Below are 12,517 nucleotides of genomic sequence, written 5' to 3' on the forward strand. Positions count from 1 at the left end.
TGGAGTACAATGGCGTGATCTCAGCTCACTGCAACCTCCGCCTCCCAGTTCAAGTGATTCTCCTGTCTCAGCCTCCCTAGTAGCTGGGATTACAGGTGCCCACCACCATGCCCAGCCAATATTTGTATTATTAGTAGAGACAGGGTTTCACCCTATTGGCCAGGCTGGTCTTGAACTCCTGACCTCAGGTGATCCACCCACCTCAGCCTCCCGAAGTGCTGAGATTACAGGCGTGAGCCACTGCACCCGGCCTTTGATCTATTTGAATCATCTCTCTTTCATACTTAGTCTAGCTAAAGGTTTGTTGATTTTGTTTATCTTTTCAGAAACCAACTCTTTGTTTCGTTGATCTTTTGTATTTAATTCTCTAGTTTATTTCTGCTCTGATCTTTATTTTTTTTTCCTTTACTAACTTGGGGTTTCATTTGTTCTCATTTTTCCAGATTTTTAGAGAAAATCCCTTAATCAGAAAGGAAGACTAAGAGAAAAAGGAAGAAAAGATCTACAAAACAACTAGGAAAAAGTAACAAAATGGCAGTAGTAAGCCCTTACCTATCAATAATTACCATGAATGTAAATGGATTAAATTCTCCAGTTAAAAGACAGACTGGCTGAACGGATTAAAAAACATGACCTAACTAAAGTTGGCCATTGAACAATATGAGTTTGAGCTGCAGGAGTCCAATGTCATGCAGATTTTCTTCCACCTCTGCCACTCCGAGTCAGCAAGACCAGCCCTTCCTCCTCCTCTCCCTCAGACTCCTCGATGTGAAGACCACGAGGATGAAGGCCTTTGTGTGATGATCACTTCCACTTGATAAACATTAAATATATTTTATCTTCCTTATGATTTTCTTGATAACATTTTTTCTCTAGGTTGCTTTATTGGAAAATATAGTGTATAATAGATTCAACATATAAAATATGTGTTAATCGACTTTTTATATTGTTGGTAAGGCTTCGGGTCAACATTAGGCTATTAGTAGTTAAGTTTTGGGGGAGTCAAAAGTTATTCGCAGATTTTCAACTACATGGGGGTTGGTGCCCCTAACCCTACATCATTCAAGGGTCAACTGAATATGTTGTCTACAAAAGACTCGCTTCACCTGAAAGGACACACACAGACTGAAAGTGAAGGGATGGGAAGATATTTCCTGCAAATGCAAAGCAAAAAAGAACAAGTAGTTATATCAGATAAAATAGATCTTAAGCCTAAAACTGTAAAAAGAGACAAAGAGGCCATTATAGAATGGTAAAATAGTCAATTCAACAAGAGGATATAACAATAATAAATATATATGCACCCAATATTGGAACATCTAAATTTATAAAGCAAATCTTAAATAAACCTAAAGGGAGAGATAGACTGCAATACAGTAATAGTAGAGGATTTCAACACTCCACTTTCAGCAATGGACAGATCATCCAGACAAAAATCAACAAAGAAATATCAGAGTTAAACTACACTCCAGACCAAACAGACCTAACAAGACACTTACAGAACCTTCCATCCAGTAGCCATGGAATACACATTCTTCTCAAAACCACATGGAACATTATCTAGTATAGATGATATGTTAGGCCATAATACAAGTCTTAACAAATTTTAAAAAGCTAAATCATATTATCTTTTTTGACAATAGAGTAAATCTAGAAATTAATAGGCAGAACATTGGAAACAAATATTTGGAAATTAAGCAACATGCTCCTAAACCACCAATGGGTTGATAAAGAAATCAAAAAGGAAATTCGACACAAAGGAAAATGGGAATACAGCATATTGAAACCTGTGGAGGCTGGGCATGGTGGCTCATGCCTGTAATCCCGGCACTTTTGGAGGCCGAGGCGGGAGGATCACTTGAGGTCAGGATTTCGAGACCAGCCTAGCCAACATAGTGAAAATACAAAAAATACAAAAATTAGCCAGGCATGGCAATGGGTGCCTGTAGTCCCAGCTACTCAGGGGGCTGAGGCAGGAGAATCACTTGAACCCGGGAGGCAGAGGTTGTAGTGAGCCGAGATTGTGCCATTGCACTCCAGCCTGGGCAACAGAGTGAGACTCTGTCTCAAAGATTAAATGAATAAATAAAAATAATAAAACCTACAAATACAGCAAAAGCAGTACTAAGAGGGAAACTTAAAGCAATAAATGCCTATATAAAAAATATTTGAACAATTAGTAAACCTGACTGACTGTGGCCTGTTAGGAACCAGCCAAACAGCAGGAGTTGAGTGGAAGGCAAGCAGGGATTATTGCCTGAACTCTGTCTCCTGTGAGATCAACGGCAGCATTAGGTTCTCACAGGAGCTAGAACCCTGCTGTGAACTGTGCATGTGAGGGATTTAGGTTGCACGCTCCTTATGAGAATGGAATGTGTGATGATCTGAGGTGGAACAGTTTCATCCTGAAACCACCCCCCACACTAGTGCCAAAAAGATTGGGGACCACTGAATAAATTGCTTCTGTAATTAGTAACTTTGCTCCAAAGCAAACTTCTGGTGAAGATGACTTCACTGAATCGTGTCAGACATTTAAGAAGTAAATGCTGTCAGTTTGGTGTAAAATCTTCCAGAATAGAAAAAGTGGCAAGACGAGTATAACTTGAGTACCTAGTCTAGCAAGGGAATTATGATAAAATCACACACCAATGTCATTCATAAACCTTGATGCAAAGGTCCCAAAAAATAACCAGCAAATGAAATCCATCAATACATGAAAACTATATATCACAAATGATTTTGCTTAAAAGAAAATCAGTGATAACATAATAAGGATACAGATCATATGACCATCTCAATTTGTAGAATATTTGATGAAACCCAATAACCATTCATTTATTAACAAAAGTAGCTGGGCATGGTGGCTCGTGCTGTGATCCCAGGACAGGACTTTGGGAGGATGAGGCAGGAGGACTGCCTGAGGCCAAGAGTTTGAGATAAGCCCTTGCAACACAGCGAGATCCCTTCTCTACAAAATAAAAAATAAGATAAAAGCCAACCTCTTAGCAAATTAGAGTAGAAAAGAACATCTTTAATTTCATAGGAGGTATTTATAAAAAAAGCATAAAGTAAACATTATACTTGATAAAACATTGAAGGGTTTTCCTTCAAAGTCAGGAATAAGACAAGGATGTCTGCCACCATCCCTTCTAGTCAAATTGAATTTAAAGTTTGTGTAGACTGATGGCCTTCATGGTACCAAGTCTTCAATTTTTCCTATATCCACCCCCTCTGCAATGTGATTCTACAGTTTGTCTAAGATCATATCTACTCTCCTGCTCCTTGAACCTGGGCTTGTATGCCGATTCAGCGCCTGTGCTGCAAGAGACCTTACTTGTTACTGCTTATTCTCTAACTCTTCCGCCATCGCTATGAGGACATGTCTGGGCTAATCTGCTGGAAACTGAAATATATATTAGAGCTGAATCACTCCAGTGGTACTAGCTCAAGCTAGTCTAGATTAGCCAAGAGGCAGCCCATTCCCTTTTATATTAGCTGAGCCCAAAATAATGACTCATAAGCTGTAATAAAAAATTCTTGTTTTAAGTCATTGAAGTTTGAGGTGGTTTGTTATGCAGCATTATGGTGGCAATGAGTCATTGACACAAGGTACAATAAAATGAAAAAAATGGTTTAGAAAAGAAGAAATAAAACTATTATTTATGGATATGATTCTGTATATAAAAAGGAAAAAAATCACCGGGCGCAATGGCTCATGCCTGTAATCCCAGCATTTTGGGAGGCCTAGGTGGGCAGATCACCTGAGGTCAGGAGTTCGAGACCAGCCTGGCCAACATGGTGAAACCCCATCTCTACTAAAAATACAAAACTAGCCAGGCATGGTGGCGTATGCCTTTAGTCCCAGCTACTCGAGAGGCTGAGGCAGAAGAATCACTGAACCCAGAAGGTGGAGGTTGCAGTCTGCGAGATCATGCCATTGCACTCCAGCCTGGGCAACAAGAGCAAAACTCTGTCTCAAAAAAAAAAAAATCTATAAATACATTACTAGGATTAATGAGTGAGTTTAGCAAGGTTGCTGGATACAGGGTTAATAGAAAACAATATTAATAGCGTTTCTACATACCAGCAAGAAATAAATAGGTAATAAAAAAATAAAGATAACATTTATAATAACAAGATATTTTCTGTGCCTAGGAATAGATCTAACACAAAAGTACAAAACTTCTATACCAAAACCTATAAATTATTATTATTGTTATTATTATATTGGTGTCTTTTGATGAAAAAATGTTCTAAATTTTAATGAACTCAAATTTATCAGTTCCCTCATGGTTAATATTTTCTAAAAGCTATTTAATACATCTTTCTTTCTTTTTTTTTTTTTTTTTTGAGACAGAGTTTCGCTCTTGTTGCCCAGACTGGAGTGCAATGGCGCGATCTTGGCTCACCGCAACCTCCACCTCCCAGGTTCAAGCCATTCTCCTGCCTCAGCCTCCCGAGTAGCTGAGATTATAGGCATGCACCACCACACCTGGCTAATTTTGTATTTTTAGTAGAGATGGGGTTTCTTCATGTTGGTCAGGCTGGTCTCAAACTCCCAACCTCAGGTGATCTGCCCGCCTCGGCCTCCCAAAGTGCTGGGATTACAGGCATGAGCCACCGCGCCCGGCCCTAATACGTCTTTCTTAACCCCCAGATCATGAAGTTATTCTTCCACATAACTTCTAAACACTTTATAAATTTGCCTTTCATGCTTAAATCTGTTAATCCTCATGGATTAACACTGTTCTTGATAATAATAATGATTATAGGCTGGGCATGGTGGCTGACCCCTGTAATCCCAGCACTTTGAAAGGCCAAGGCGGGCAGATCACCTGAGGTCAGGAGTTCAAGAGCAGCCTGGGCACGATGGTGAAACCTCATCTCTGCCAAAAATACAAAAAATTAGCTGGGCATGGTGGTGCATGCCTTTAGTCCCAGCTATTCAGGAGCCTGAGGCGCAAGAATCTCTTGAAGCTGGGAGGCAGAGGTTGCAGTGAGCCAAGATCATGCCACTGCACTCCAGCCTGGGCAACAGAGAGACCCTGTCTATAATAATAATAATGGTTATAGGTTTTGGCATAGAAGTTTTGTATTTTTTTTATTAGATCTATTCCTAGGCACTTAAAATAGCTTCATGTTATTATAAATGTTATCTTTATATTTTTCATTACCTATTTATTTCTTGCTGGTATGTAGAAACGCTACTAATATTGTTCTATTAACCCTGTATCCAGCAACCTTGATAAACTCACTCATTAATCTTAGTACTGTATTTATAGATTTTTTTTTTTTTTTTTTTTTTTTGAGACAGAGTCTTGCTCTGTCACCCAGGCTGGAGTGCAGAGGCCCGATCTCGGCTCACTGCAATCTCCATCTCCCAGGTTCAAGCGATTCTCCTGCCTCAGCCTCCCAAGTAGCTGGGATTTCAGGCGTGCACCACCATGCCCAGCTAATTTTTGTATTTTTAGTAGAGACGGGGTTTCATCATGTTCGTCAGGCTGGTCTTGAACTCCTGACCTCGTGATCCGCCTGCCTTGGCCTCCCAAAGTGCTGGGATTACAGGCGTGAGCCACTGCGCCCGGCCAGATTTCCTTTTTTGGGCGAGTTTTGCTTTCTTCTTGCATACTAACCTATCTCCTTTTTATTATAAAATACACATATTCCAAAAAGTGTACAAAACTGAAATGTTCACCTGAATGATTTATTGTAAAGCAAATGCCCCAACCATCCTAGCCAAGATTGAAATCTGAGTATCAGGAAACAATATTTAAGATTAAAAGTACCGAGCACATTAGAGACGTATGGTACATGCTCAACACGCAAAGAAAAAAATAACAGCCACAAGCCTATATGTACCAAACAACTGGAGAGCTAAATATTTAAGGCAAAACACGTATAAAACCAAAAAGAAATTGATCAAAATATAACTACGATGGCAATTATCATACAACTTTTTCAGAACTCACAGATCTAATAGAGAAAAAAAAGGACATAGAGAAATTGAATAATGCAAACAAATACGATTTAATAGATACTTAGTCATATTAGAAATGAACAATTTTAGGGAAGGGAGATGGATTTGTGAACCCTGGAGTGCGGTTCTGCCTACTCGAGGCCGCTGCTGTGTGGAGACCCCTGGGTGAAGCCACTGTCATCATGTCTGACCAGGAGGCAAAACCTTCAACTGAGGACTTGGGGGATAAGAAGGAAGGTGAATATATTAAACTCAAAGTCACTGGACAGGATAGCAGTGAGATTCACTTCAAAGTGAAAATGACAACACATCTCAAGAAACTCAAAGAATCATACTGTCAAAGACAGGGTATTCCAATGAATCCACTCGGTTTCTCTTTGAGGGTCAGAGAATTGCTGATAATCATACTCCAAAAGAACTGGGAATGGAGGAAGAAGATGTGATTGAAGTTTATCAGGAACAAACGTAGTGGGGGGCGGTCATTCAACGGCTTATTCTTTTTTTATTTTCCCTCGATCCTTTAATCCTTTATTTTTAAAAATAGTTCCTTTGTAATGTGGTGTTCAAAACGCAATTGAAAACTGGTACCCCATCTCTTTGAAACATCTGGTAATTTGAATTCTGGTGTTCATTATTCATTATCATTTGTTTTCATTGTGCTGATTTTTGGTGATCAAGCCTCAGTCCCCTTCATATTACCCTCCTTTTTTTTTTTTTTGAGACGGAGTCTCGCTCTATCGCCCAGGATGGAGTGCTGTGGCGCGATCTCGGCTCACTGCAACCTCCACCTCCCGGGTTCACTCCATTCTCCTGCCTCAGCCTCCCGAGTAGCTGGGATTACAGGCACCCGCCACCACGCCTGGCTAATTTTTTGTATTTTCAGTAGAGACGGGCTTTCACCGTGTTAGCCAGGATGGTCTCGATCTCCTGATCTTGTGATCTGCCAGCCTCGGCCTCCTAAAGTGCTGGGATTACAGGCGTGAGCCACCGCGCCCAGCCTACCCTCTCCTTTTTAAAAATTACGTGTGCACAGAGAGGCCACCTTTTTCAGGACATTGCATTTTCAGGCTTGTGGTGGTGATAAGTAAGATCGGCCAATGCAGGTGTTCATAATGACTTTCCAACTGGCCCTGATGTTCTAGCATGTGATTGCTTCACTCCTGGACTGTGACTTTCAGTGGGAGATGGGAGTTTTTTCAGAGAACTGAACAGTGGAAAAACGACCTTTCCTTAACTTGAAGGTACTTTTAAAATTTGAGGGTCTGGACCAAAAGAAGAGGAATATCAGGTTGAAGTCAAGACGACAGATCAGGTAAGAGTGATGCCTAACTCCAAAGATGGCTTCACTGAAGAAAAGGCATTTTAAGATTTTTTTTAAATCTTGTCAGAAGATCCCAGAAAAGTTCTGATTTTCATTAGCAATTAATAAAGCAATACACGTAGAAATGAATAAGGCAGAACACTGCTCTTTTTTATTTGTTCTTTTTGGCCTGGGATATGGGTTTTAAATGGACATTGTACCAGCTTCATTAAAATAAACAATATTTGTAAAAATCGTAAAAAAAAGAAATGAACAATTTTAAAAGAGAAAATAACCTTAATGACTTGGAAATTAAGAAATATGCTTCTGTGGTGAGAGGGTCATTTGAGCTCAGGCGTTCAAGACCAGCCTAGGCAACACAGCAAGACACCCATCTCATATCTATATATCTATCTATATATATATATATATATATATATACACACACACACACACATACATACACACACACTTCCAGATAATCCTTGGATTAAAAAGAAGCTAAGTAGAAAATTACAAAGTTTCCAGGTAGCATAAAAGTGTGTGTGTATATATATTTCCAGATAATCCTATACACACACACACACACACACAACCCCACACACACACTTCCAGATAATCCTTGGATTAAAAAGAAGTAGAAAATTACAAAGTTTCTAGGTAGCATAAAAAGGAGATTTCATATCAAAACCTTTGACATACAGCAAAAATTACACTTTACTGAAGACTAAAGATGATGAATAAAGGAACTTAATACTCCCCTTAAGAAATCAGAATAGGCTGGGCGCAGTGGCTCACGCCTGTAATCCTAGCACTTCGGGAGGCTGAGACAGGTGGATCACTTGAGGTCAGGAGTTTGAGAAATCAGAAGAATAAAGACAAAACAAACTAGAAATTGTAATTATAAAGTTGACATTAATAAGATAGAAAATAAAGTAAAAATGCTAAGTAAATCCAAATGCCACTTGTGAATCTGATTGAGAAAAAGATAAATAAAAATAACAAAATGTAAAAAATGAGAAAAGAGACACAGCCATCAAATTTAGAATTTTAAGGACATATGCTATATGAAATCCTAGGTCAACAAATCTGAAACCTTAGAGGAAACTGAAAGTGTCTGGCAAATGTAAATTACTAAAAATAATCCAAGAATTTTGGGGAAAATTAATGGAAAGGGTTGGAAAGATGAGTAGAGATTTACTGCACAAATGGGCTCTGGGACCAGATGGGTTCAGAGATGAGTTCGATTTAACCTTTAAAAAGCAGATGGTTCTAATGTCAATTACACCAGGCTGCTCAAAGTGTGGCCCACGAATCCTAAGCATCACCTGGGAGTGTGATAAATGCAAATTAATGAACCTGAATCCAGATTCACCACATAAAAATCACTAGCGGGCGGCCGGGTGCAGTGGCTCACGCCTGTTATCCCAGAACTTTGGGAGGCCAAGGCGGGCAGATCACGAGGTCAGGAGTTCGAGAACAGCCTGGCCAACATGGCGAAACCCTGTCTTTACTAAAACTACAAAAATTAGACAGGAGTGGTGGTGCACGCCTGTAATCCCAGCTATTCGAGACGGCTGAGGCAGGAGAATCGCTTGAACCTGGGAGGCGGAGGTTGCAGTGAGCCGAGATCGCACCATTGCACTCCAGCCTGGGTGACAAGAGCAAGACTCTGTTTCAAGAAAAAAAAAAAAAAATCACTAGAAGATGGGGCCCAACGATCTGTTTAACCAGCTTTCCAGGTGACTTTCAGCATACTAAAGTTTGAGCAGCACTGGCTTAGGATCACAGAAAAAATAAAGAGCGCCTCAATTTACTTTCTGAAGCTAGCATAACTTTAATGCCAAAATTTATAAAAAGTAGAAAAAAACCCCTCATTTACAAAGACGAGATGAACAAGCTAAATATTAGCAAGTAGAATCTAGAATATATCAAAAGGATAATACATTACACCTAAGTAGAATTGATCCCACAAGGAGAGTTCAATATTTAAAATTCTATCAACAAGTCCACTAAATGCTAAAAAGCCATTTGGCAAAATGCGGCAGTTCTATGAATATACTAAATATCATTGAATTGTAAACTTTTTTTTTTGAGACGGAGTTTTGCTCTTGTCCCCCAGGCTGGAGTGCAATGGCATGATCTCAGCTCACTGCAACCTCTGCTTCCCAGGTTCAAGAGATTCTCCTGCCTCAGCCTCCCAGGTAGCTGGGATTACAGGCACCCAACACCATGCCCGCCTAATTTTTGTGTTTTTAGTAGAGGTGGGGTTTTGACATATTGACCAGGGTGGACTAGAATTCCTGACCTCAAGTGATCCACCCACCTCGGCCTCCCGAAGTGCTGTGATTACAGGAATGAGCCGCCATGCCTGGCCGAATTGTAAATTTTAAATAGGTTGATTGTGTGGTATATGAATCACATTTCAATAAAGCTGTCACAGAAGACTATCTTAGGCCTCTGGACAAAAGGGAGCTTGGGAGTGTCTGGTAGACATCTCTGATAGCAATAACTTTCCTTAACCCTACCCTTATGGCAGATACACCTGACAGCAATAACTTAAGCTGCCTCTGAGAATGAGGGTTGCCACGTAGAGGTTGCTAGGGGAGGATGCTAAGTGAAAGTGCCCTATGAACTGCATTTTTTTTTCTTTTTTTTGAGACAGAGTCTCGCTCTGTCACCCAGGCTGGAGTGCAGTGGTACCATCTGAGCTCACTGCAACCTTGCCTCCCAAGTTCAAGCGATTCTCCTGCCTCAGCCTCCCAAGTAGCTGGGACTACAGGCGCCCGCCACCATGCCCAGCTAATTTTTATATTATTAGTAGAGACGGTTTCACCATGTTGGCCAGGCTGGTCTCGAACTCCTGACCTCAAGTGGTCCACCTGCCTCAGCCTCCCAAAGTACTGGGATTACAGGCACGAGCCACCGAGTCTGGCCTGAACTGCATGCTTTTTGCAAATGGTTGTAGTTCTCCTGTCCAGTCCACCACCACTGGCCCATGCTGCAAGTTCCCCCAAATAAGCCCTGTGTTTTGTGTGCTGGCTCTGGGTCTCTTCTTCAGCCTCTTGAACTTGGTGCCATGGCTACTGAAGTTAACAGGCATTTGGCACGACAACCGATGATCCCAGCAGGAGGTTGGAGAAAATCCTGTGCACGCAGAGTCGATGGGATTGGAGAGGAGAATATCATCGGGGGGCATCTCGGGCTGGCTGTCCACGTCTGTGTGGGGCCCAACAGCCACTATCCTTGATGGATGAGGCCCAAGGCATGGGTACAGAGATGCCCCCAAAACACTGAAGGGTCTGGAAGAGCTATTGCAGGAGGTGGATCTAACTAAGCAAAAGTTAGATGCCTGAGCTGTGGCAGCTGCGGTTGGCTGGCCACTCCTGACTGTGCTCTGAGCAGCCTCGGGGGCCGGGCTCATGGCGCAGGTGAAGGTGCATCCATTACAAGATGAACTGCGATGACAAAGAGATGCCTAATTAGATCAGACTGAAACATCAGAGACCGACTGTCCTGCCTGCAGGCACGGGATGACAAAATGGAGAGACCCTGGCTTGTCAGGTATGGTCCATTTGAAAAGCTGCTGGCTGCTATGTCAATGAGTTAGGGCCCTCATGACTAAATCATCCTGGGACCCTAAGTTCTGGGACCCCATGGAGAGCTCTAGTGGGGAAGAGAGTGAGGCCTGGGATGAGCTCATGGAGGTGCCCATCCTCTCTGCACGTTTGCTGGTCAACACCAAGATGAAAGCCGACCAACCACAGACATAGGGGGTCACCCTGCAAGACTTGCCCCTGCCTGGAAGACACCATAGTGCGGGATTCCACGGCTGTGGAGTTGGTGGAGCTGGGAACTAGGTTCAGGAAGAAGGGCAGAGAGTCGGTCACAGGGTGGCTTCTCTGTCTATGGGACATGGAACAGAGATGAGTGAAATGGCATCCATCACCAACCATCCAGCCCTGAGGCGGTGCCTCGATGGCACCAATAATGACGATCGGGCCACCCCCTCCTTAGCCGGGTGGTTGCAAGCTGCAAGGCAGCCTGGCCAAATGAAAGGAATGTCCCAGCTGGGTGCAGTGGCTCAGGCCTGTAATCCCAGCACTTTGGGAGGCCGAGGCAGGAGGATCATGAGGTAGGGAGTTTGAGACCAGCCTGGCCAATATGGTGAAACCCCGTCTCTACTAAAAATACAAAAATTAGTCGGGTGTCGTGGCAGGTGCCTGTAATCCCAGCTACTCGGGAGGCTGAGGCAGAAGAATCGTTTGAACCCGGGAGGCGGAGGTTGCAGTGAGCTGAGATGGAGCCATTGCACTCCAGCCTGGACAACAGGGCGAGACTCCATCTCAAAAAGAAAGAAAGGAATGTCCCCACATCTCCTTTGTGATGACAGATTATGGAGGAATTGAGGGACATCCTCTGGGAATTAGGGGTGATGCTTGCTATCTACACTGAGCATTACCGAGGCCCTGACAAGGAGCTTTTCACTGCGGGCATGAGAAATGCCATCTTACAGTAGGCACACTACCAATGGTGTGGCACACTGGCGTCTATCTTGAGTCCCTTCATAGGAATCACTTGAACCTGGGAGGCGGAGGTTGCAGTGAGCCAAGATCGTGCCACTGCACTCCAGCCTGGACCACAGAGTGAGACTCCGTCTCAGAAAAAAAAAAAAAAGGCAAAAAACCAAGAATGCATCCAGGAGGCAAGGTGGCTTACGCCTGTAATCCCAGCACTTTGGGAGGCTGAGGTGGGCAGATCACGAGGTGAGGAGTTCGAGACCAGCCTGACCAACATGGTGAAACCCTGTCTCTACCAAAAATACCAAAAGTTAGCTGGGCACCTGTAATCCCAGCTACTCTGGAGGCTGAGGCAGGAGAATCGCTTGAACCCGGGAGGTAGAGGTTGCAGTGAGCCGAGATCGTGCCACTGCACTCCAGCCTGGTGACAGAGTGAGACTCCATCTCAAAAACAAAACGAAACAAAAAAACAAGAATGTACAGGCTGTTCCCAGCGGATACTGGAGCTGAATGCACTCTCGTATGTGGTGACATCCGTGGTTCCAGTGGCCTATAACAATAGATGGTCGGTGGGGGCGGGGGTCGTGAAAGTCAGACAGGTTGAGCTAGTATTACAAGTTAGGAGACTGCTGCCCAAACCCTATTTAGTATACAGAGCTCCTATCCCAGATTACATCTTGGGAAGGGCTGTCTCATCAGGACTGTGACCCTCTGAATTGC

The 12,517-nt window shown here is 42.7% G+C and overlaps 1 long non-coding RNA gene and 1 pseudogene across 1 annotated transcript in view; both read left to right on the forward strand.

Moving 5' to 3' along the window:
* Positions 1–537, forward strand: part of LOC107985340 (uncharacterized) — a 47,653-nt gene extending 47,116 nt beyond the window's left edge. Inside the window, exon 3 of the long non-coding RNA XR_001753971.2 lies at positions 444–537. This is a non-coding gene — a long non-coding RNA (uncharacterized LOC107985340). The remainder of the gene's footprint in view (positions 1–443) is intronic.
* On the forward strand, positions 6,067–7,540 carry SUMO1P4 (SUMO1 pseudogene 4; annotated as a pseudogene).

This window comes from Homo sapiens, chromosome 19 (genome assembly GCF_000001405.40).
Source record: "Homo sapiens chromosome 19, GRCh38.p14 Primary Assembly".
NCBI lineage: Eukaryota > Metazoa > Chordata > Mammalia > Primates > Hominidae > Homo > Homo sapiens.